Source organism: Homo sapiens, chromosome 3 (assembly GCF_000001405.40).
Source record: "Homo sapiens chromosome 3, GRCh38.p14 Primary Assembly".
Lineage (NCBI taxonomy): Eukaryota > Metazoa > Chordata > Mammalia > Primates > Hominidae > Homo > Homo sapiens.
The window spans coordinates 8,834,724-8,861,576 of record NC_000003.12 but is presented as its reverse complement, the minus strand read 5'-3'; the positions used below and the strand labels follow the sequence as shown (position 1 = coordinate 8,861,576).

The window sequence follows — 26,853 nt, the reverse complement described above, 5'->3', positions numbered from 1 at the left end:
CAACAGAGTTTGCCAAGCTCTGCCTGGGTTCCCATCCCTAAGTCGTGACCTGGAGACTGTCTCAAGACAGTGGGCTGGGCAGTTGTAGGGCTGGCTCACCTTACTGGTTTCTTTTCTCTTAGGGATCTGTCCTTCCTTTCCTGATGACCAGTTTCTTGAAAATTTCTGTTGCACAAATTTTGAATAGTTTAAAAACTTTTTTTCCAGGTGGGAGAGTTTATTAGTCAGGGTTCTCCAGAGAAATGGAACAAATAGGATAGATGGATGGATGGATGCATAGATAGATAGATAGGTAGATGATAGACAGATAGATAGAGAGATAGATAGATAGACAGACAGACAGATAGATAGTTAGATGCTGAGATTCATTATAAGGAATTGGCTTGCTTGATTATGGGGGCTGAGAAGTCCCGTAATCTACCATTTGCAAGCTGGAGACTCAGGAAAGCTGGTGTTATAAATTCCAGGCTGAGCCTGAAGATCTGAGAACCAGGGGAGCTGATGATGTAAGTCCCAGGCCAAGGGCAGGAAAAGACCAATGTCTCAGCTCTCACCACTGGGTAGAGATAGAATTCAACTCTCCTCCACCCTTTTGTTGTATTTGAGGTCTGAACAGATTGGATGATGTCCACCCATACTGGGGAGAGCAATCTGCTTTACTCAGTTTACCAAGTCAAATGTTAATCTCTTCCAGAGACACCTTAACAGATACACCTAGAAATAATATGTAACCAGGTATCTGGCCCAGTAGAGTTGACACATAAAATGAACCTGCATGAATCTATCCTTTGTCAACTTGGCACCCATAAGCACCTCCTTAAACCATACTTAATCTCCAGATAAAGACAAGAACAAGTTCATAATTCCACCTAACGTGATGCAACTCTCCTGCATTCAATAAAAAATACACTAGCCCCTTTCCTAGAAATAAGGTAAAATCCTTGATATCTTTTTCCTTGATATTACCTAACTAAAAATACTATGATGTAAAATTAACAATGCTTAAATACTATGATATTTAGTCAAAATTTCTTACGTTGCATGCTAAGGGAATAAGAGAAGAAATAAAACAAAGCTATTTATATATAATTAATTAATATAAATAATAAATATAATGCACACATATTCATAACAAAGGAAGGAGGAAGTACTCATGATAATTACAATTCTTGTGTCTGTAACTGGTCACAGGGCCGTAGCAGGTATTTATAACTACCTTCTTCCACTACTCTCTCTGAATTCTCTTTGCCTTCAGCAAGCATCCCAGTTGGTCATATGTATTTACCTGGGAGAGTGACCCAACTCTTCATTCCTGAAGAATCTAGGCTGTTCATAGCCCTGCCTGGATTGGGTTGTTGTAGTTATTCATTGACCTTAATCACAGGGCATGGTAATACTAAAACACGCCGTAAGGGATCTCCTGTATTCCAGACAGTCTTCTTTACCTCCATTGTGGAGTAGTAGTCCAATTTGTCCTTGATAGTCTGGAACAACCATCCCAACTATCACTATACCTCCCTCCTCACCTGTTCATTCATGGGCATGACGGGCCCAAAGTGGCAAGGTGGCAGTCTTAACTTCCAATTCAGTGGAATCATTGTTGTGATTCCTGGTGGAAGCATTCTCCCTCTGAAACTAAAACTTCTAGGAGAGTAGAGTATAAAGTCACAGGTACAGGAAGTAAAACCTTTGCTAGTGGATTGCTAAGGGTAATAGTGAGTGGTGCCACCCCCATTTCCACCTCTTGGTTTCTGGATCCTTGAATCCTAGCTATGGGAGAAAGAGCACCATATGCTGGATGCAGACTCAGAGCTATACAGGCTTCTGGAGAACCTTGCCCCCACCCTATAAGGTATTGCAACGTAGCTGATGCTGTAAATTAGTCTGCAAAAGGCCATCACACTGTTCTACATATGCCACCTGCTTTAGGATGGTGGGGAATATGGTAACTTCAGTAAATTCCATGAACGCAGGCCCAGTGCTGTACTTCTTTTGCTGTGAAGTGAGTTCCTTGGACAGAAGCAAATGCTATGTAGAATACCATGACAGTGGATAAGCATTCTGTAATTCCATGGGTGGTAGTTTCAGCAAAAGTGTTGTGTGCAAGGAAGGCAAACCCATAACCAGAGTAAATGTCTATTCCACCAAGAACAAAACGCTGCCCCTTCCATGATAGAAGTGGTCCAATGTAATCAACCTGCCTCTAGGTAGCTGGCTGATCACCTCCAGGGAACTGTGCCATACTGGGAATTCAGTGTTGGTTTCTGCTCCTGTCAGATTGGACACTCAGTGGTGTCCATAGCCAGATCAGCCTTGGAGAGTGGAAGTCCATGTTGCTGGGTCCATGTATAGCCTTCATCCCTTCCATGAGGGCTGTTTATTTAATGAGCCCATTGGGCAGTGACAGAGTTATCTGAAAAAAGAGGTTGACTAAGCCGGGCGCAGTGGCTCATGCCTGTAATCCTAGCACTGTGGGAGGCTGAGGCAGGCGGATCACTTGAGGTCAGGAGTTCGAGACCAGCTTGGCCAACATGGTGAGACTCTGTCACTACCAAAAAGTGCAAAAAAATTAGCTGGGTGTGGTGGCATGCACCTGTAATCCCAGCTACTTGGGAGACTGAGGCGAGAGAATTGCTTGAACCCAGGAAGTGGAGGTTGCAGTGAGCCGAGATCACACCATTGCACTCCAGCCTGGGTGACAGAGTGAGACCCTGTATCAAAAAAAAAAAAAAAAAAAAAAGTTGACTAATATCTATAGAATGAGTCACCCTATTCACTTGATTATTAAAATTTGCCTCTGCTGATATCACCCTTTGGTGAGCATTCACATGGGACACAAATCTCTTAATCTTTTGCACATTCAGAGAGGTTTATCCATATACCTCTTCCCCAGATTTCCTTGTCACCAGTTTTCCCATCATGTTCTTTCCAAGTCCCTGATCATCCAGCCAAATCATCGGCTACAGCCCATGAATCAGTATATTATCACATGTCTGGCCATCGGTCCTGCCAAGCAAAGTGCACGACCAGGTGCACTGGCTGAAGTTCTGCCCACTGGGAAGATTTCCTTCACCACAGTCCTTCAGGGATGTCCTAGAAAGGGGCTACAGTGCTACAGCATCCACTTTTGGGTCGTGCCTGCATATCCTGCAGAACCCTCTGTAAACCAGGCCTGAGTCTTCTCATCCTCTGTCAGCTGATCTGGGGAACTCCCCATGAAGCCACAGGTGCAGGCTGGGAGAGAGAAGGCAACATAGCAGGGTTAGGAACCGTGGGCATTTGGGTCACTTCTTCATGTAACTTACTTGTGCCTTCGGAACCTGCTCGGGCCTGATCACAGATACACCACTTCCATTTGATGATGGAGTCTTGCTTTGTCCACCCAACTTTATGGTGTGGTGGGTCAGATAACACCCAGCTTATGACAGGCAGCTCAAGTTGCATGATAATGTCATGGCCCATGTCAAGCGTTCAGTCTCTGCTGAGGCCCGCTAGTAGGCCAAGAGCTGTTTCTCAGAAGGGGAGTAGTTATCTGCAAATGACAGCAGGCTCTTGCCATGAAATCTTATACTCTCCACTGTGATTCACCTATAGGGGCCTGCCAAAGCCTCCAAGCAGCATCGCTACCTGCCACTGACACTTTAAGCGCCACTGGATCTGCTGGGTCATGTGGCGCAAGGGGCAGAGCAGCTTGCACAGCAGCCTGGACCTATTGCAGAACCTTATCTTATTCTGGGCTTCACTCAAAACTAGCAGCTTTGGGAGTTACTCAGTAAAGGGGAGAAACACACCCAAATGAAGAATATGTTGCCTCCAAAATCCAAAGAAGCCCATTGGGCTTATTTTGGTTGTAGAAATGGCCAGATGCAAAATCATATCCTTCACCTAGAAGGGCTATTTTGACATACCCCATACCACTGGATGCTAGAAATTTCACTGAGGTAGAGGCCTATGAATTTTAATCAGATTTGTTTTCCACCCTCTGACACACAAATGTTTTACTAATAAGTCTAGAGTAGTTGCTACTTCTTGCTCACTAGCATAATGTCATTGGTGTAATGGATCAGTGTGGTACCTTGTGGAAGGGAAAGGCAAACGAGATCCCTGCAAGCTAACTAATGGACATAGGGCTGGAGAGTTACTGTATCCCTGCTGCAAAATAACCGAAGGTACATTTCTGGCCTTGCCAGCTGAAAGCAAACTGCTTCTGGTGGGTCTTATTAACAGGGGTGGAGAGAAGGCATTTGCCAGATCAATAGCTACATACCAGGTACCAGGGGCTGTGGTAATTTGCTCAAGAAATGAAACCACACCTGATACAGCAGCTGCAATTAGAGTTATTACCTGCTTACAATAATCCACTGTCATTCTCCAAGATCTATCTGCCTTCTGCACAGGCCAAATAATAAGTGAATTGAATGCAGATGTGGTAGGAATCACCACCCCGTGTCCTTTATGTCCTTGATGGTGGCATCAGTCTCTACACTCTGTCAAGGTATGGCTCTTGGTTTACTATTTTCCTAAGTAGAGGCAGTCCTGCTGGCTTCTACTTGACTTTTCTCAACATAATAGTTCTCATTCCACAGGTCAGGGAACTAATGTGGGGATTCTGCCAGTTACCAAGTATGTCTATTCGAATTTTGCATTCCAGAAAAGGAGAAGCAACCACAGGATGAGTTCAGGGACCCACTGGACTCACTGTGAGATGGAATTGAACTAAAACTCCATGGATCAGCTGACCTCCACAAGCCTCTCCTCTAACTCCTGGACCACAGTGACATTTTGGGTCTCCTGGAATCAGTGAGAGTTCAGAGCCAGTGTCTACTAGTGCCTGAAAGTTCTGATTATTTCTTTTTTCTCAATGCATAGTTAATGCTGTAAAAGGCTATATGTAGGTCCCTTTGGGGAAGGCTAGGGGAACATTAACAGGATAAATTTCGGGTAGTACACCAGAGTGGTTCCTCAACGGGGCCCATCTTCCCCTTTATCCAAGGGGTTTCGAGGCTGTAGGCTGGCTCAAGTCTGGGAATTGATTGAGGGGCTATGACTCTCTGCTTCTACAATTCACGTTAGATTTTTGTTCACTTAACCTAGAATTTTCCACTTGTACACATCAAGTAAGAATTTGGTTGGCTTCCTATCTATTTCACTTCTAGGAACACCATGGTCAGCTAGCCAACACCATATACATGCGCGTGCACCCCCCCACACACACGCACACACACATCCCCGGCACCAGGCCAGGAATTTTTAATTCTGAAGGAACATCTCCCTCAGCTGTTTCTGCCAGTCTGAGGTGAGCAGTGGGCATGGGGCTGGGGAGGGAGGGGCCAAGGCGTGCATCTGCGTTACTGCAGACGTCCACGTTACTGCATGTGTCCACATTACTGCAGGTGCAGGTTGGAGCCCCCACCCAGACCCGCACCAGCTGCTGCCATCTCTCATGCTCAGTCCCAGGACAGTTATTCTCAGCTTTCCCGGACACCTCCCTGTTCCCACTAGATGCAACAGCACAGCTAGTTCCTGCTGCATGGTGCTCCCAGCTTCTGAGTCTTTAAAGATTTGTTTTTAGAGATGAGGTCTTGCCATGTTGCCCAGGCTAGTCTTGAACTCCTGGCTTCCAGTCACTGGGGTCAGGCCCTGCAGGAAATTGGTACTGCTCGGATGGGAGGCAGGAATTGGTACAGCTAGGATGGGGCAGGCAAGGCAAGTCCCATTCGATAGACTGTGGCCCACCGAGTGTATGCTCTGCACTTGGAATCCGGAATGATGAGGGGGCTAAGGACCATGACATAAACTGGAAATATTTAACCTAGAAAGACTGTTCTTAGAGACATTGTTATGTTTGAGTAATAAAAGCTAGTACTTACTGGGCTCTAAGTTTGTGCCAGGCATAGTGCTAAGTGTATTATGTGCTTAAAAAAATTCTCAAAGGCCCCATTTTACAGATGTGGAAATCGAAGCACAGGGAAGTGGAAAATCACGGTTACTCTACCACAGTATGAATTCCCATGGGCAGGATCCCCCAATGGATGCTGAAGTGAATGGGCAGAGCTAACTCAGAGAGCTAGGGGTGGCAGGGCTAACATCTGAGCTCAGGTTTTTCTGATTCCAATTTTTTAACTGCCACATGTGGGGAATTAGATTTTTTTTTCTTTTTTTACTACACCTCATGGTAAAATTTGGATCCATAGGTGGCAGCTACAGGGAGATGTATTTCACCTCAGTATAAACAATATCTTTCTATTTCCACCATTCAAAAATGGAGTAGGCAGGCAGCTTTAACAGGTAGTGAGTTCACCATCAATGGTGGCAAACAAACTGAGCATGTATCGGGGACACTACAGAGGGATCCAGCACTGATTAGACAATCAGGATTGCAGAGTGACCTTTTTGGGGTCATTTAGAAAATGTGTGAGTGGAAGAAGGGAGGAAGGTACCAGCCAAGGGAGACTCTAAAATCTGCGAGCAGAATGGCAAACTGTGATTGCTGAAACGTTATGGCCACAGCCAAGGACTCTAGGCACTGCCAGAGATGGGGGGCTGTAAGGAGGCAGCATGTGACAGGGTGAAGAGTGGGCAGTTTTGGGATCAAGATCCCAAGGGGCACAACGTCTTTGTAAATCCTCCACAAAAGGCCTTCCACAGAAACTTTGTACTTCAAAATTCCAGCCCTGGTAGGTCATTCCCTTGGCTTCAGACTTTTTTCTTTGTTGAGATGGAAGTTGATTGGGGCTGAGTCAACTTAGCTAAGTGGGAGCTACATTTCCCACAGTTGCCTTCCCAATATGCTTCCATTTAGGGTTGGCTATAAAGAGGAATATACATGAGATTCGGAAGGTGAAATGAAGAAACAGCAATTTTCAAGCTCTGAAGCCCAGCGTAAGATGCCAAACACTGTGACTGGTCATGGCTGTTGCGGTCCTGCTGCCTGGCCTCATTGACATGGGCAGCACCCAAGCCCATATCTCCTGCAGCTCCCTCCAGCCCTGCTACTCAGACTTCACCTAGTCCTGGGCCAGATGCGAGCGCAGCTCCGTGGTGAAGTGCTCCAGTGTCTCTTGTATCGTCCAGGTTGGATGTAGTTCAAGACAGCTGTGGCTCCAGCCAGTGGGCAGCTTGTGGGCTCAGCCACAATTGTCCTCTCGGGTTGCAGGGCACCTATTGGGTCCCTGTTTGTCTTACTCTCCTCCACCTCACACCTTGATTTCCCTCCTGATTGCCAGCCTGGCCAACCTGTAATGCCTACAGGCCCAACACCAGAAGTAAGGACCACAGTTTTGCCCAGACTTCTCTTCTTTACATTTGTTTTTAGAGATGAGGTCTTGCCATGTTGCCCAGGGTAGTTTTGAACTCCTGGCCTCAAGTGATTCTCCCACTGAAGCCTCCCCTACATAGTCTTCTTAACCGGGTCTTACAATTGCATAAGGCCTAATCCTTTTGTCAAATGCCTTATTCTGTATCACTCATAACAGTTCCGCTTCTCTGACTGAACTCTTTCCTAACTCACACGTAGCTGTCTTCCTCCACACACTGCCAATCTTATCATTCTATTCTACCCTGGCATGTTACTGACTTTTATTAGTGCCTTGCCATTACCTAGAAAATCAAGTCCACATCCCTAAGGGTGGCATTCAAAGCCCTCCATCAGCTTTACCAAAGCCTATCCTCTTAGCTGCTACACTGAACTGCTTTCCAGAAGGCCTGGGAATGAATCTGCCTCTGCCTCCTATTAGCTATGAAGCCTCGGGCTAGTCAATTTCCACTGAACGTCAGTTTTCACATCTATAAAATGGCAAAACCATCCTGCAAGACTGATGTTCTGCCCACACCACAGTTGTTTACTGCCTGTGTGTTCTTTGATGGGTTGGTTCCCATTTCTTGCCAGTTCTTGGATATTTTGAATAGCACCCCGAATTATTTTTCTGTTGCTGCATAACAAATTGCCACAAACACAGTGGTTTCACAATCCTTTATTATTTCGCAGTTTCTATAGTTCAGAGTCTGGGCACAGCAGAGCTGGATTGCCCGTTCAGGGTCTCACAAAGCAACATCAAGGCGTTGGCTGGGGCCCCATGGTGATCTAGAGGATAGGGTCCTCCTCTGAGCTCATTCGGGATGTGGGCAGAATTCAGTTCCTTTTGTCTATGGGGCAGAGTCCCTGTATTCTTGCTGGCTCTCAGCTGGAGGTTGATCTCAGCCCCTAGAGGCCATGCTCAAGTCCTAGCCATGTGGGCCTCTTCCAGCACGGCTACTCACATCTGCAAAGCCAGCAGGAGAATCTCTCTCCAGCCTGCTAGGACAGAGTCTTACATAACACAACCCAGTCAGGGAAGTGACTCCCCATCATGTTCCCAGGGCCTGACCGCTGGGGAGGACCCAATGGGAGGAGATTTTACAGAGCATGTGCATCGGGAGCTGGGAATCTTGGGGCTACCTTAGAATTCTGTCCAGCACAAACCCCGTTACCTCTCAGCACTGTGAGTTGAAAAAAAAACAAAAGGGCTTAGCATAGGGCCTGGCCTGCTGTTTGTCTTTTATATATATTCATTAAATCTCTTTCTCTGACTTATTCATGATTACTGGAGGGCAAAGGATCCCACCTTGTTGTTTTCTCTGTATCTCCAGCACCTGGCATATGGCACGCCCAGGACCCATGGTCCCCTGCGAGTGGAAGGATAGATACAAATGGAGACAGGTAAGGGGCTTCAGGAGGAGCCAAGGAGCAGGGTGGGGGCTGGAGGGCAGGCTCAGATATAAGCAGGCAGAGGGTATCTGTGGTGACGGAAGGCACGTTTTGCCTCCCTCCGCTGTCTCAGATCCCATGCTATGTCACCCTCAGCCTTGGTTGCTGCTGCTACTAACAAATGAGCTGTTCATGCCACCCCCACAAGAGTCTCTGTAGAGGATCCTGGAAGAGCTGCTCCAGAAAGGAAGGGAGGCACCGGGCACCTGCCCAATTAGCTTGGTGACCTCTCTGGTGCAGAGGCTGTCTTCTCTCATCCTGCTCTTTCCCCCAGAGGGGCCCAGTGGGACAGTCCTGAAAATGCAATGTAGAAATCCCAGCTGAGGTGCCCTCCAGAATCCAGGGCTCCAGCTGTGAATACTTCAGCAAGAAGGAGCCTTGTGCCAGGGAAGGTGGCGGAGGGCGGGGTGGAAGAATTGACAGGGCTGGTGTGAGGAATTAGGGCGCTTGGATAACCAGGTGCAAAGGGAGTTCTGCACCCATGCCTTTGCTTATGTCCTTCCCCCAGAGCCCAGTCCTTGCCCACCTCCTTCATGGTGCTTTCCTCCAACACCCCTGAATGAAAGCAGCTGGCTCTTGTTGTTCATGGGCAGTGGGTTTCAGTGAAGGTCTCTGGAGCAGAGTTCAGGACCCCCTAGGTCCTACTTTGTCTAGTAACATGCTATGCAGATGGGGCATGTCAGTTACTTCCTCTAGGAATCAAATTTTTGTACCCTTTAAATGAAGGATCTGGAGCCCAGGACCTCTAGGGTGTCTGTCAGTTTCACATTTGGAAACGCTTCAATTCCAAAGACCTATCTTATCTTATTCTGGTATCTTGCTTTTGTCCCTTCTCCTGCTGGCCTTGAGCTAGGGCTGTGCATGGCCTCGAGCTAGGGCTGTGCATGGCCTCAGTGCTTCCATGTGGGCTGAATTTCATACCACAGATGTTTGCTGAATGAACATCATGCCTGGGACTACTGGTTCTATTTTTAGGAGCGTGCTGGAATTTCTAACCAGACTGTGAGCTTCCTGAGGTTAGGGTTTGGAGTGTGCCGCACCTCAGAACCCAGAGGAGACTGAGAAAGGACCCAGGGAACACTGGGGATGAAAACTTTCTATACTCTCTCCATCTACATAACAAACAGAACTCATTCCTGTATTTTGGAAAACACAGACATCTGCACTTTGTCCCCAGAGATCCTGATTTAATTGGCCTATGGTTGGACCTGGGAGGTGATGTTATCCGGAAGCTACCCTAGATGATTGAGCTGGGGTGAGAAGCCCTGGGCTCAGTTAATACCTGAGAGCAGTTCCACCTCTGCCATTCTGTGACTCCTGCACTCCCCATACGTGCTGTTGGTACAGGGCAGAGGAGCCCTATGTGTGAAAACTACTTAGGGCTTTACATTTTTTACTGGTAATAGGAGTTGTGAATCTTCTTGATGAAGCTCATATTTTATGCTTGGTTCTTTGTAGACATTCTCTTTTAATTGAGTCTTCATAGCAACTCTGTGAGATCAATTTCATGATTGCCATTTTAGAGATGAGGACTCGGGAGCTCAGAGAGGGGACTTGATCTGCACAAGGTCACACAACGAGCTAATCAGTGGCTGAGCTGGGATTTGACCCCATATCTGTCTGACTTCAAACTCCATGCTCTTTTCAAACTGGAAAGCTCAAGATAAGTAGCCATTTAGGTAGTTTTTTGGAAATATGCAATTTGGAGCTACTTTAGTACCTAACCAGGGAAAGGGAAGTCTCCCTCTTTTCTGTTTTGGTTATACATTATCCCTAAAGCATCTGGTTCTGCTGCCTTTGACAAAGATGCTCTCTTCTTGAACCAAACTTTAGTCCGGCTCCTCTGAACCTGCTTCTCAACTAGGCCTGGACATTTGTGCTTTTGCGTTTGTCTCTATATTGCCTTGAATGGTTAAAAAAAAGCGCGGCTGGGCGTGGTGGCTCATGCCTGTAATCCCAGCACTTTGGGAGGCTGAGGTGGGCAGATCACGAGGTCAGGAGTTTGAGACCAGCTTGAGCCACATGGTGAAACCCCATCTCTACTAAAAATAACAAATTAGCCAGGTGTGGTGGCATGTGCCTGTAATATCAGATACTCAGGAGGCTGAGGCAGGAGAATCGCTTGAACCCAGGAGGCAGAGGTTGCAGTGAGCCGAGGCCACAGCACTCCAGCCTGGGCGACAGAGCAAGACTCTGTCTCAAAAAGAAAGAAAGAGAAAGAAAGAAAGAGAAGGAAGGAAGAAAGGAAGGAAGGAAGGGAGGGAGGGAGGGAGGGAAAGTGTGGCATATATGCACAATGGAATATACTATTCAGGCTTAAGAGAGAAGGAAATCAATCCTGTTGTTTTCAACAGCATGGATGAACCTGGAAGACACTATGCTAAGTGAAATAAGCCAGTCACAGAAACACAAATACTGCAAGACCCTGTTTATATGTGGAACCTAGAAAAGTTGAACTCATAAAAGCAGAGAGTAGAATATTGGTCACCAGAGGATGGAAGAGTGGGTGGTTGAGGAATGGGGAGATATTGATCAAGGGGTGTGCAGTTTCAGTGAGATAAGAGAAATGAGTTTTGCTGATCTATTACACAGAGTAGTGACTATAGTTAATAATAATGTATTGTGTATTTCAAAATTGCTACAAGAAGGCCAAGGCAGGAGGATTGCTTGAGGCCAGGAGTTTGAGACCAGCCTGGGCAACATAGCAAGACCCCCAGCTCTACCAAAAAAAAAAAAAAAAGTTAGCCAGGTATGGTGGCTCATGCCTGTAGTCCTAGCTACTCAGGGTGCTGAGGTGAGAGGATCACTTGAGCCCAGGAGTCTGAAGTTAGAGTGAGCTATGATCATGCCACTGCACTCCAGCATGGGTGACATAGTGAGACTGTCTCAAAAAAAAAAAAAAAAAGCTAAATGAGTAGATTTTAAGTAATTTCATAACCCAAAAAATGTTAAGTATGTGAGGTGATGGATATGTTAATTAGCTTGATGGAATCATTCTGCAATGTAAACATATATCAAAACATCAAGCTTGACCCACATAGGAAGACCCCATCTCTCCAAAGGAAAAAAAAAAATGCTGGTTGTGGTGGCACACGCCTGTGGTCCCAGCTACATGAGTGACTGAGGTGGGAGGATCACTGGGGCCCAAGAGATCGAGGCAGCAGTGAGCTGAGATTGTGCTGCTGCACTGCAGCTGGGTGACAGAGCGAGATCCTGTCTCAAAAAAAATAAATAAATAAAGATAAAAACACCACACTGTACCCTATAAATATATACAATTATTGTTTGTCAATTAAAAACAAAATTTCAGAAATCTTACTAAGTCAGTTTAGTGAGAATTCCTCATACTTGGTATCTGATCAAATTCTTTATCCTTCACCCTCAGAATCTGATCATCCTGGCCTACCTTCAGTGAGATGTTGAGTAGGTTTAGCCAGAATCCACTCCTACCCCTGATGTTTCCTTTCACTGACCGTCCCGCCACGACCACTCCTGGGCTGTAAATCCTCACTTGTCCTTGCTGTATTTGGAATGGAGTCCAGTTCTAAGGTTCAAGAGTTCTAAGAGTCCTGAGGGCTCATTTCTCCTATTGAAATAGTTCCTGAGTAAAATCTGCTTTTATGGCTCTAATTACTGTCTGGCTCTGGTTTTCTTTAACACTTATATTTGTAGAATGTTGACAAGCTAGAACGTTTTTGAATGAGTGAGGTCAGCCAGGAGACTGAGAGGATCCTGCTGTCACGTGGAGAACCATGGAGGTGTTACAGGCTTTAGTGCAGAAGCAGAGACAGGGAGGCAAGAGAGCTGTCTTCACATGCATCTGGCTGTGCAAGAAGAGAGAGGAGTTCTAAAGCAAAGGATCTGGGCATCCTGAATACTGTTAGGACAGCTCTTACTAAGTAGGAGTGAACAGGAACTGGTTTATACTTAGTTTTAAAGATGAAGTCAGTGCTAAGGAATGGGCCCCTTTCCTGCATGCTCTATATGTTTCTGGGACATTTGCTGTCGGATGACTCTGGCCCTCTTCCAGTGGGAGGACTGGGGGAAACGCTGCAGGGGATGCTCACTGTGGCCCACGTGACCCATGGTGCTGCTCAGTAACATGTCAAGGATGCAGATTCTTTCTGCGCATGCTTGAAACTAGAAGGCAAATGGAGTGCACAGCCTCCCACCTAGCTAGGCACACATTTCATGTTTCCTTAAACTGTTTGTTGGGTGTGCTAGATGGGTACTTGGATCTCACTTGGTGTAAAAAACTCTGGTGGTTTCAAGTAAACAAATACAGAGCACCTATCGGGTGCTAGCTAGAGAGCCAGATGCTGGGAACTGGAACAGGAACTGGGCATATTGGCTGTCCCATAGAAGCTCACAGTCTTGTTTTGGGAAGATGAAAAACACACAATTGACTAAAAGAGGAGACTGACAATGGCAAGTGTGACAGTGATATGGGACACAGGACAGGATGGGGTCCTGACTGAGGAAGGAGTTCCCAGTGAGCTTCACAGACGTGGTGATGTTCCCCAAGTAAGACCCACCTAACGAGAATTTCTTCTGCCTGCATAGACTGGAAAACAGGCTCATTAAAAAGAGACTGTCATTCAGTTGGGGTAAGTGCTAAAGATCTAGAAGTGGTAGAGGTAAGGGATGTGGTTTTTGTTGTAGGGGAAGGGAGTAATGTCAAGGTATGGGGTACCTAGGTGTAGCAATGCTTTCATTAATACCATATATTCCCCTCTGCCTTTCTGATAGAACTCTGCTTCCATTTGGTTAATCTACCCTTCACACGGTCATGCCCTTCATGACAGCATGGCAATTTCATTCCCTTTGGCAGTAACTGGTTTAGGCATGACCATTCAGTAGAACTATGGTCATGGAGATGTGAGAAGTGTTCTAGTGGGCTTCTGGGAAAGGCTTCCTTATTGTCAAAAGGAGACAAACTCAAGGATGGAAAGTCTGTTCTTTTTCTGGACATCATTGTGTCTGGATGTGATGCTGCCAAGGGGGCAACCATCTTACCACCTTGAAGGGAGTGAGTCCAAGGGCAGAGCCTCAGACTAAAGATGGCAGAGCACAAAGATGGAGAGAATTCACGTCCTTGAAGATGGCATTGAGCAGCTGAATTTGCCCATCTGGCTCTGGAATTCATATGTTAAATAATATATGTCTTTAATGTTATTTTGAGATGGGGTTGTCTATTACATGCAGCTGAGAGCATCATACCCTAAACAAAGGAAACCGAGAGAGGACATTCAGAGGAGTATCACACACCCGGGACTTTTACTGAGTGTGAACGTCCCTCCTCAAAATGGATCCCTGCTAGTGGGACAGTCGGCCATCTTCTTCTGCCCTCAAATGTTTTCTAGCCTATGTCCAGATCGGGGCAATCAACTGGGAACCTCTCTATTTTAGACAAATTCCTTTTTTTCTAAGACCAGCTGGAATTGCACAGGAGAATTATTAACTACCACTTAATGTATTAAAATCTGCCGCTACTCAGCCCGAGGTCTTGCTACACAGAGCTGGCCAAGTGAGGAGCTGCTCTGTTAGCAACCAACACCTACAGGCAAAGTGTCTGCCTTTGAGACTTTAGGTTTCATGTTGACTTTTGAAAGCCCTCTGTCTCTTCCAGTGAACAGCACACAAGCCTGTCATTGTAGCTTAGTTTTAGTTGGAAGATAACCATCTATCTTTTCTGGAAGATAACCACCTATATTTTCCAGTTCCCTCTGGGACCTCCAAGAGTGAATTCTGGGTAAATCAAGGAGCCTATATTTAATGTTGGGCCAGCTAACATACCCTTCACATTTACTTTAAATTCATCAAGCACTTAAAAAAAATACACTGTGGTTAAAAGACAAACTTACTTTTATTTAGAGGTATCTGGATGCTCAGAATTTCACCTTGAGAAATCATTTCCTCCCACGCAGGACCTGGCTCTCAGAGGAGCCTTGAATATTTGTGTACTCTGTTTGCATGTCAATATCTCGACCACGCTTAAATGCAGCCAATGGAGATCTTGTTTATTTTTAATTACTCACATTATTACAATCATTAATTATTTAACATTACAGAATTTTGGGAAATTGAAAAATAAAGTCAGTCTTAATCACTTCATCTGATGCATCAATGAATTAATTTCATCCTGATCTTCCACTGTTATCCACATACAAGTATATTTGTATGCTGCAATTCTAGCACGCATACATTTTTGTCTCTTAATTTTTTTATCTTATTAAATTAAAAGACTATCCATGTTGCCACAATGTTTTTATAATAATTTTAATACTTGCATAATAGGATCAGCAAATAGATGGAATGGAATAATCTAACTTTGTAAAAACACTGGTAGTAGTTTAGGGAACTGTTGTTTCTCTCCTCCCCCTTCTCTTTTGTTTTGTTGCCCATCTCTCCACTGGGAGCAAGAATTCAGGAATGAGTGAGCCCATCCCCAGCTCCAGGGGCAAGTCCTGACTGGTCTGAGCCCATCATGGTGGTTCCATTCCCCTTGCTGGAGATTGGTTTAGGCATCTGCATGTGTTGCTAGTCTGCCAAGGGACATGAGGGGGACTTCTGGGAAAAGCTTTTATCCTTGTAAAAAGAAACATGTTGGAAGAGATGTTCCCTCCTTCCACTGGACACCATTGCGTCGGCATGCAGTGCCTGTAAATGTGGCAGGCAAATGTTACCCAACCGAATCAACTTTCTCTCCTGTTGATAAACATTAAAGCCTATTGTAGGCTGTAGCTATAAAGCCTATTATTAGAAAAACCTCACTTTCTTGGCATTTGGGGTGCTGAGACCTGGAACTTCTTCCTGGACAGTAGGATTTCTCACCTTAGCAAAAGTGAGACACCAAACTCTGAGACACTTCCCCAGGGTTTTACCATAAATGTCCCATTTGTCATTGATATGAAAGGATGGGGAACAAAGCAGGTCAGCCAAGTTGCTATTTTTTTCTGTTGTCCCAAGTGAGTCAGGGCACAAACAGTCTGATCATTGGGAATGAGCTGACAAGTGTGACTCAGAGCCAGAGACATGGAAAGACACAGGATGCTGGGTCCCTAAGATGCCCTAGGAAAGCGCTTCATCCTGAAGGGCCAAAAGCCATAGGAGATAATCCTCCTTAGTCTTCTGAGATGAGGAACACTTACTCCAGACCTAGGCTGCAGACTTGCCCTCCTGTTTTTCTTTAGTGGACCCAACTTTTGGATAGGCTCCATTCAGACTCAGTTCACAGCCCTTAGGCTCTTGTAAGACTATAAGATTTAGGCTAAGAGGACCTGGATTAAGATTCTAATTCTATTATTGGAGCCATCTCAGGATAATTGTAATTTTGGGCTACCTTTTCTGATTTTCAATTTGTATAACTATAAAATGACGTTGGTGGAAATACCTCTATCATAGAATTGTTGAGAATGTTAAGTGACAGAATATGTATGAAATTGAGTGTAGCAACAGCAATTTTTGGGCCACTTACTATGTGTTAGCCTCTGTGAATAAAAAGATAAATCAGAATTCTTTCTTGTTCTTAACAAGCTTACAGTCCAATGGAGAAAGCAGTTTATAAAGTATTGGCTATTATCACTACTACCCAGGATCCACATATTTGAAGGTCAAGTAAGGATTTTCTTGGCATATGATTGTCTTAGTCAGTTTGTGCTGCTGTAACAAAATACCATAGAAAACACAAAATTTCTATGCGCAATAGACATTTATTCCTCTCAGTTGTGGAAGCCCTAGGTCAAGGTGCTGTCAGGTTTGTTATCTGGTGAAGGAAGCTCTCTGCTTCCAACACGACGTCTTTTTGTTGCATCCTCTGGAGAGGACGAAGACTGTGTTCTCACATGGTGAAAGGTAGAAGGGATAAAAGGGGATGAGGGCTGTGTGAAGCCTCTTATAAGGGCCTTAATCCCGTTCACAAGGGAAGAGTCCTCATGACCTAATCATCTCCTAATGGCCCCACCTCTTAATACTGTTGCATTGGAGATTAAGTTTTAACATGAATTTTGGAGGGGATACAAACATTCAAAGCATAAGTTACCTATTGCTGTCCTGTCAGGACAAACAAGAATTCATAACTGCAAGAATGCAGATTGCAAGACCTCCGTGGGCTAGGACCTTATCTGCAGGGTTGCGTGGGCATTTCTTTCATGACTTTCTTTTTTAATGGCTAAGCTTTGGGCAGTTTTACTTCTGAGCTGAGGAGTGATGACATCCTATTTCTTATTCCCAAAGCTTCATATCTGGATTGACAAGAGCAGGAACTGATGAGGTTGCAGGAGTCTGGGGTGGATGGAGAGAGGTCTCAGGTCCGTCCCTTCATGGGCTGCATAGATTCTGAAGGGATATGTGGCACCAAAGGGAAGCATCCTTCTGGATGACACCCTAGGTGTCAGCTCCTCTTCTTCCCAGCAGCTGGAGACAAGCCCTCCCCCTTGATAAAGGAAGTATCAAGATTTATTTGTTTAGCAAAATGATCTAGTTAGGTTGTTTCAAAGTATTTTTTTGAAAAAAGCAAAGTCCATTTTTTCAATGGAAAGACCTGGACATGGAATATGTAAAATGGATAACCATGGAGTGCTCTTGGTTGATGCTAGTTTTGGGGGCAGGGTATCCTGCCCATTTAACCCACCCTCTCCACGAAGACCCTTCTCTCCATGGAGATCCTTCAGGCATCTTGGTGGAAGCCACAGGGCTCTGAAGAACACAGCTTGACTAACTTCAGCAAGATGGTGTAGGTACGGTCCCTGTGTATATCACACCTAGTATGAATTGAGAACTGTTGAGGTTTCCTAGCCCTAAGGAATCTCCCTTGCCAGCCACCTATCAGGTGCCTGAAATTCTATCTCTTGGGGGCTTTAGAGTTTTTTGCTCTTCACAAAAATGCCCTCATAGAGATGTAAGCATTTCTGGAAAAACTACAACAAGCCCATGACCAATTTCTACTCACATTCACTCATCCATTCATTATATTCAATGAATATTTACTGAGCATCTACTAAGTGCCAGGTATTATTCTACATATTGGAGATATGGTTCTGAGCAAAACAGACAAAAGACCTACCCTCTTGAAGTCTGCATTCCAGTAGAAGGACAGTCACTGACGGCTGGGCCCTAGGGGACTGGAGTACAATGCTGGAGGTAGACTGTGCCCAGAATATGTTGCAGACATGCTGTGCTCACCTCCGTGCTGCTGGCCCTACTCAGCTGGAGCTAAACAGCGTTCTGAGTTGAACCAGCTTGGCAGGACATTTTGGACAAACACTGGGGTCAGTTCGTTTGTACACTGTCTTGAAGTCCTTTGGGTTTGGTTGTAATGACTCAGGGGCCACCTGGGGCACAGAAGAGAAGAGGTGGGAGGGGTAAGGAGAGGCCACCGGGGACCTCACTTGGATCTAGCTAAGGGCTTCTCACACTTCGCTGCACGTTACAGCATCTTGGGAGTTCTCAGAAATCCAGATGCTCAGCTGACCCCAGGAGTTTTTGGCGCTACTGAGGCCCAGGACCCACTACCACAGAACCTGATGTAATAGGTCCTGTGGTGGTGGGCCCTGGGCCTCAGTAGGGCCAAAAACTCCTCGGGTGAGTACAGTGCACAGCCAAGATTAAGAACCCCTGAACTAACTTGTATAATAGGTCTATGTAAAATTCTTCTCTCGCTGAATATTCTCCTGGGCTATAAACACATTTGGACAGTGATTAGTCCATTCTCATGCTGCTATAAAGAACTGCCCAAGTGTGAGTAATTTATAAAGAAAAGAGCTTTAATTGATTCACAGTTCTGCATGACTGGGGAGGCCTCAGGGAACTTACAATCATGGCAGAAGGTACCTCTTCACAGGGTGGCAGGAGAGAGAATGAGAGCCAAACGAAGGGGGAGGCCCCTTATAAAACCATCAGATCTCATGAGAACTCACTCACTATCACGAGAACAGCATGGGGGAAACCACCCCCATGGTTCAATTATCTCCCCCTGGTCCCACACTCGACACGCGGGGATTATTACAATTCAAGGTGAGATTTGGGTGGGGACACAGAGCTAAACCATATCAGACAGTGTTCTCTATCTTTGGGCTGTATTGGACTCATCTGGGGGAATTTGGTGAAAACAGGCAGGCCAAGCCTCTCTCTCCTACATCAATGAGCCGAGGCCTCTGAGTTCTTTATCTGCTCTCCAGGGGATTCAGGTACACATGAAAGTTGGAGAACCACTGGGTAAGAGAATGTCTGACAGCAGGGAGTATAAGGATCACTGGCCAGAGGCAGCTCACTAATCTGTGACCTTTTGGGCCTAGAGCCAGGAAGGAAAACAGGTATTCATATATAGGTTTCACTGTTGTGAAACTCTACATCCTACATTACTGCATTGGAACATAACGCCTTGTAAGGTATTATTGTCCCCATTTTACAGATGAGAAAACTGAGGCACAAAGATAGAAAGCAACTTGCCTAAGGCCACATGGGATTCAAACTCTGATGTGTCTGACTTCAGATCCTGGGGAGACTGAGTTCTGATTTCTCTTCTGTGACCTGGAATCTGTTACAAGGAGCACTAGAGAATTCTGTTATCTCTTAGCTCAGGTGATGCTCTCATTGTTCTTTAGAAGTGCCGCCAGAAGTTCATGCTCGGAGACTATTTTGTGTTCACAGGAAACTGCTCTTTCATTCATGCCCCTTTTGTTCTCCCGAGTCAGGGATCTCAGCTCCCTCTTTTCTCCTGGAACCCTCTAATTAGCCTAACTGTAAATCGAATAAGCAGATTTTTCAGTGACATAATGCAGTTTGGAACTATATACCTCTTATGGGCTGCATCTATTTTCCCTTTCCAGTACCTCTGCAACTACAAAAATCTTATGTTGACAATAGAGATCATGTCATGTTTCCTTTGGTTTGAGATTCTGTGTGACCTGAGTACTTTAGGCAATTATCTATGAACATCTAAACTAAGAAAAGAGCAAAAAGGGCAAAAGAGTGCAAGATTGTTCCCATTCCCATTAAAGAAGACATTCTCTTCTGTGTTTAACATGGGCAAAATAAAAGTCTGTTTATTAGACTTCAAACACGTATTTTCACAACACATTTATTGTGTGCAGCAAAGTTCAACTCTATTTTGTGCCTGTACATATAAGTATCAAAGGAAGCGCCTTCATTCCTAGTTGCTGACAAATATGAAGTTGCTTTCAAGAAAACACATGCAAAAGCAATTACGATTATGAATGGCTTTGGCAGCCACCATCTTACATTATTAATTTTGTAATACAGTCCACCTCCTCTTCATTCATGTTTGATAGGAAGCCTGTGTGGTCAATAAGGAAGCCCAGTGCAGGATTTATGAAGTTGTTTGTAAGGTTTCAAGACCCTGGTGGTGCTCGTTCTGCATTCAGGGTTGTGCTTTTCCTGCCCTCCATGACCTTGCTTGCCTTTGAGATAGCAACTGCTCTTTTGGAATTCATCAACAGGTATGATCAGTAACCAGCAGGATGTTATCTAAAGGAAACAAAATAAGCTTTGAGCATCATTTGGAATTGGCCACATTTCCTCTGCAGTGGCAAGGTGCTGGGAGTACAGAGTATTTGTGGGAAAGGGTCTCTGCAATAACCTCTGATGAGAAGGAAACACATTAGCCGCAATATCCAGCATTTATATCAAGCTCAAGCTCAAGCTTGATACCATTCGCAAGGTGTTTCCAAACCTGTAGTCCATTTGAATGCATGATAATCCTTAAGGTGGACAGAATAGCTATGATTAGATACCTTTTCCCAATGGAGAAAAGAACCTCAGGTTAAATGACATTTAGTCTTTTCTAGCCTCGTCTACACAATAATCCCCTCACTCCCTTGCCCCCTGCTTACTCCCACAAGCAGCCCTTCTCCTGCCCTGTTCCACAGGTCCCTACCCCATATTGTATTTTTAAAGGCCCTTGCATTTTGCCTGCTGCTGGCTGGCACCTACCAATGCATAACTTTGCAGTTCCTAGCTATGCTGAGGTGCCCAGGGTGCTGTTGTGAACTCACAGGAGTCCGGCGAGGTATTTTAAATTTTTGAGGGAAGCAAAGCAATGCCTGACGTCTATCCAACCCCACGTGACAGGGGTAAACAGATCACTCTACATTCCTTCAGATTATGTCATATCTTTGCAAAGCTAGGTTTTCAGTGATTACAAGGATGAAAAAAAGTACTACTGAAAATCAGCGTGGGACAGGAGTTGAGGGTGGCAGTGTCCAATCTGATTGCAGGGCTTGAGAATTCTGCAGTGCCCAACAGAGACACATGTTTTGTTAGGAAGTAATTGTGTCTCTTTAGGAGTGAAATAAAATAATATTTTTCTTTTAACTTATGTATATTATTTTCTGTTAATAAGGACACATTTATTAAGTTGCTTATACATAACTACTTGATAAATGGAATTGTTAGGTATTTCTTTTGGCCTAAGGGTATCCTGAGATACCAAGGGCACCATGAACCTAGCTTCTGGTGTAATGAAAATCCCTAAAGGTGTTGCTTTTCTTGCTTTTTTTTTTTTTTTTCTTCAGAGGACTTTACATTTGAAAGCCTTTTAAACTCCAAGACTGAACAACTGCCAGAGGGATTTTGCTGCTGTGACCAGACACTTTCAGCTGGAGAGACACTTTCAGGTGGGGGTTTTCCTAGCTCTTCTGAGCCACAGTTGGTTGTCCATGACTGGATTTGTCCCTGAATGTACACAGGTTGGCCTGAAACAATAGGACCATGAGTCACCCAAGAGTGGATAGTGAGTGAATCGGGTGTCCGTTATCTCCAGGCATCCAGGGGACAAAATGAAAAGCCATGTAGTCCATCTGTCTCCGACAGAGAAGACAAAGCACCAACCTCTGTTCAGTCCTTTTACTCAAAAATATTTCTTCAGTGTCCCTCTACACACCTTGCCTCCAAGAAAAAATATGGGCAGCCTGGAATAGTGGGTGGGACCTGGAATCTGTGTCAAATGTTGGCTGAGCTCCTCAATGACGCAAACTTAGCTCCTTCCCGTTTCCTGGTGCTGCCCGACTCCAGAGATGCTCTGGCGTCCCTCCTTACTGGTTGCCATGCTGAGATGATGGGGATCACGGGTGCTGACCAATGTTAAAGATAGGTATGAGGTAAAAAGCATTCAGGGAAGTCTTAAGTGTCTGCCATTTCCACATTTCCACCTAAGGAAGCAACCCCAGGGCGATTCCTTGGCATTGGTTGCCAGGCTGTGAGTGTTGGCTGATCCTGGTGCCCTAGCCACCACTGGGGGACTCGTGATTACCCAGTTACTCCCTGCAAATGCTGGGTGGGACTAGAACCAACCACTTGCAGTGACATTGAGATTTAGAATCAGATATTCCTGGTTCAAATCCTGCCTCTACCTTGTACTAGCTGTGTGACTTTGGGAAAGTCATTTAACCTATCTAATATTTGTTTTCCTCACTTGGAAAATGGAAATAATAATAAGCCACCTGTGACAATTCATTGGAAGTACTTGGTGTGGTGTCTAAACTAAGCCTTCTTTATATGGTAGCAATTGATCATCATCATCATCACCATCTTAATGGAAACAACCAACATGTGAAGTAGGATGAAGAGAGGTTCATCCTAATCCCCATTCTGCAGATGTGGAAACTGAGGCTCAGAGAGGTTAAATCTGACTTGCTTTGGGTTACATACACAAGTACAGCTGGAACTTCAAACCTGGGTGTTCATTAACCTGGCACCTCCTTGATTGCATCCTGTTGACCCCCACTTCATGGGCCTCTCCTTCCCATCTCCTGGCCCACTCCGACTGTGGAGGTCATAGGTAACCCTTACTAAGTTTATGTGTATGTCCTGCTGCTCTCGCTTCCTGGATCCTGCACAGCAGACAGCCAAGTGTAGGCTGGGACAGCTCCAAGCAGGAAAGGGGATGTTGGCTGGATGCAGTGGCTCACGCCTATAATCCCAGCACTCTGAGATGCCAAGGCAGAGGATTGCCTAAGCCCAGGAGTTCAAGACCAGCCTGGGGCAACATAGTGAGACCCTGTCTCTACAAAAAATAGAAAATTAGCCACATGCCTCTAGTCCCAGCTACTTGGAAGGCTGAGGTGGGAGGATCGCTTGAGGTCAGGAGGTCAAGGCTACAGTGAGCCATGACCACATCACTGCACTCCAGTCTAGGCGACAAAGCAAGAACCTGTCTGAAAAAGAAAAACAAATGGGAATGCCTTCTTGGCTTGGGTGTGTCTCCTGAGCCCATACATACTTGCCTACCTGTTTTTGTGACCCTTGGCCCTCCTGGAAAAATTGGTTTTGTTTTCAGCGACTCGGCAGCCAGCATCCTGAGGAGTGAGACACATTTGTCCCTGTGTAACCCCATTGCCACTGTCATCACCATGCATAGCATCAGCCAGTAGTAATGAGCAGCTATTTTGAGGCTGGGGGACAGCTGTTTCCCCTAAGCTTTCAGAGGGCTGGGATTCTGCGTGCAGAGACTTCCCTCCCCATCTGTCTGTCACCTGACAGAATAGGCTGTGACTTGGTAATACCTTCTCGCCACCCCAAAATTGTCCTACTTTCACCCCTCACTCCACCAGGAGGGAGATGGAACATGCCTGGGACCAGTCAGAGGCCAGTTTTGGGTCATCTTCTGCATCCATCTTTGCTGTGTAACAGACCACTCCCAAACTCAGTGGCTTGAAACATCAATGATTTATTTCTCACCATTCTGCAGGTTGGTTGGATGGTGTTTCTGGTCCTCACTGGTTTGGCTGGGACTGGATGGTCTGGAGTCCCTCACTCACATGTCTGAGTCCTCAGCTGGGACAGTGTATTCATCATGCCTTTTTATTTTCTGTATTTTTGATTATTTGACATCTTGGGGTCTTCCTGACCCTGGAGAGACTGGTCCGTCTAGGGTGAGCCAATTCCTACAGATGGTAAATGACTCTCCCTTCCATATGCAAACTGAACAAGACAGAGCCCATAGCCCCAGCCACTCTGTTACAGAGCTCTGATACCCTGTGCCATTATTTTCCTACCCCAATCACCTTACAGCCAAGTACCAGACAACTAGAGACAGCCCTTATACCTCAGAGCCAAATGAAATTATCCAAACTAGCCCATCTTAAACCTGCTTACCCTTCCTCACCTGTTCCTTCCCAGGAAACCAAAATAGAGGTTCTTGCCCCATTTTCCTCTCACTCCCTCTGCCCCTGGATGGACCCTGGTGCTTCCCCATTTGGTCCCCTGCAATGTGGGATGCTCCATCTTTTAGGATCTGTGGGTAACAAGCCATTTTTTTCCAATGGCAGTCATCTCCTGATCTGATACCCTCATCATCCCTGAGTAATAATACAGCCAACATTTAAAACAGACAGCAGCTGGGATGGCTGCATCTTTCTCTCCACGTGGCCTCTCATGCTCCAGGGAGCTAACCTGGGCTTCTCCCTATGTGATCTCCACGTTCCCAGCTCAAGAGAGGGCAAACCTCAATGTGTCAGCACTTTCAAAACTTCTGCCTGAGTCACACTTGCTAATGTCCTATGGGGCAGAGTATATCACATGGCTGAGCCCAGATTCAAAGAATGGAAAGCTATAGACTCCTCATCTTAATGAGAGGAACGGCAAAGTCCCATCAAAGGGATGTGCATATAGATGGGAAGAATTTGTTGTCATTTCATAAAGTCTACCATATGCTGTGCTCACTGTGCCTTTGGGCAAGTGGCTTCCTATTCCTTAACCTCATTTTCAGCAGCTTCATAATGGAAAGATAATCCCTGATCCTCACAGGGCTGCTGAGAGGGTCAAAACACCAAAACACCACAGTCCAGAGAGTGCCATGGTAATGTAAAGGTTTGCTGTTATCTGACATTCATACCATAGATGTCACATTTTGAGTTAAGAAAGATCCAGGCGTTTGGATCTTAAAAAATGATTTTTTCCAGCCTGGGCAACATGGCAAAACCTTGTCTCTACAAAAAATACAAAAATGAGCAGGGCATAGTGGCACGTGCCAGCTACTCAGGAGGCTGAGGCAAGTGGATTGATTGAGCCGGGGAGGTCAAGGCTGCAGTGAGCTGTGATCGTGCCATGGTACTCCAGCCTGGGAGACAGAAAGAGACCCTGTTTAAAAAAAAAAGAAAAGAAAAAGAAAAATATTTTTGTTATCAAAATCATATAGCTTAGTTTCTTAAAATTTAGGTTGGAGAGATCCTCACAAGTGCTTGACAAGATGTCACCCATCTTTATAAGAATGTGTTCTAGATAAGAACACATATACTTATGGTATTAGTTGAGGTTCTTGATCCTATCAGTGTCCCACTTCTAGATCCTGGGAAAGAAAATCTGGATGGCCAAGTTTGAAGCAAGTGGATAAACCTGGTCAAACCATGCCAATCAAAGGGGCATGCCATGGGTACCAAATATTGTTTTAAGTCTGTATTGACTCTACTCCTTTAAGCCAGCTGGACACGCTCATAATCATGCAACCAACAGACCATAAAAGCAAGTGGTCAATACCCACTCACTGTCTTCTTGCCCCAGACCTTTCTTGCTGCGTTCTGACTTGCTCTGACTTCCCTCCAGGTCCTGTCTAATTCCTGACCCCTGGCTCTCTTGCATTTGTTACCTTGCCCTTGTACCCTCCCACTTGGTGTTTTTCCTCTGGAATTTCCAGAAGGCTTTTTGCTTACAGACACCTTCTAGCTCTTTTGGATTTGCTTGAGATTCGGAAAGGCTGCTTGGGACTTCACCTGCAGCCTTTGTCCTCCCACTCCACTACGAGATGCAGGGAGTTAGACTACCTATGTGTCTGTTTCTCTGATTAGACTAAAATCCCCTTGAGAGCAGGAACCATCTCTCTAAATAACCAGATATTACTTGTCACTTTGTTCCTTCATACAGAACTAAGGGAATCAAGTGAAACATAGAACCAAGATATTCTAGATTTGTGCTGGAATTGCTAATAGATGTGTGTTGTTTTGTGGCTCCCAGCTTTCCAAACTCCCGTTTTTCAGGAATCCTTTGTTGGCGACAGGCACAGTCCTGTCTCCCTCTTCAGAGGGCTAAGGGGGCCAGACATTCCCTTTTCTCAGCCCCTGGCCTCTTGGCCATATGGGACCTATGCTTGGCCAACCAGATGCTCCCAACTTGAACTTTGAATCTTAAGGGAGTCTCACAGGGACAAGGGCCACGTGAGAAATTCAGTGGTTATATGTGATTCATGCAGGAGCAGCGGGTAAGCAGAAGGCTCAGCACAGGTCTCTAGCAGCAGCTGTGCCAGCATAAGTGATCTAACCCAGCTATTTCAGTGGCCCCACCTGGGGAGTGTTTTGCCACCTGGCCTCCTAGTTTCCTGACTACTTTTTGAGCGTGGTTCTCCATTATTCTGATAGATTCAGAGACCAGTGCAATATCCTATTAATAAATGCCATCTTTCGGTGCAGCAAGTCAGAGTAAATTTCTGTTTTTTGTCTTTGTTTTTGTTTTTTGCAACCGAGAACCTGATTGATGCAGGCCACAAATAATAATAAACGCTTGCTTCCACTCACCATGGACATATCACATGCCACATGGAGCACTGAGTACTTCGTATTGATGATATTTAATCCTCACCACAGTCCTGGGTGGGAATTATTACTCTTCTCAGTTTGCAAATTAGACTCAGAGAGGCTTTTATGAATAATGTTGCTGTGAGTATTCTTGCATATGTCTCCCTGGCATTCATGTGAATGCATTTCTGTTGGGCGTATATTTAGGAATGGAACTCCCGAGTCATAAAGTACTGATATGTTTATCTTCATTAGCTAATGTTCAACTGTTTTCTAAAGTTTTTATTCCCACCAGCACTTGCGTGAGATTCTGGTTTCAGTAGATGAATGGATCTTGGCCAATTCGATATTTTCTTTTTACTATTAGTCCCCATGGCAGGCATTTAGTGGTATTTCGTTATAGCTTAATTTGTATTTCCATCATGCCCAATGAGGTTGAACATCTTTAAAAATTTATTTACGCTGGGCACAGTGGCTCACGCCTGTAATCCCAGCACTTTGGGAGGCTGAGACGGGTGGATCACCTGAGATCAAGAGTTCGAGACCAGCCTGGCCAACATGACGAAACCCCGTCTCTACTAA

At 45.3% G+C, this 26,853-nt stretch overlaps 1 long non-coding RNA gene across 3 annotated transcripts; it reads left to right on the top strand.

Annotated features, from left to right (window-relative positions):
- Positions 1-331: 331 nt before the first annotated feature.
- LOC107984112 (uncharacterized) lies at positions 332-26,169 on the top strand. 3 transcript variants are annotated; one of them, XR_001740594.2, is made up of 3 exons: positions 332-7,265; positions 8,629-8,698; positions 20,038-26,169. It is a non-coding gene; the product is annotated as an uncharacterized LOC107984112 (long non-coding RNA). The 3 variants fall into 3 exon arrangements; XR_001740593.2 differs by having other exon boundaries at positions 332-8,698; positions 20,038-20,205; positions 21,280-26,169; XR_007095814.1 differs by having other exon boundaries at positions 332-8,698; positions 21,280-26,169.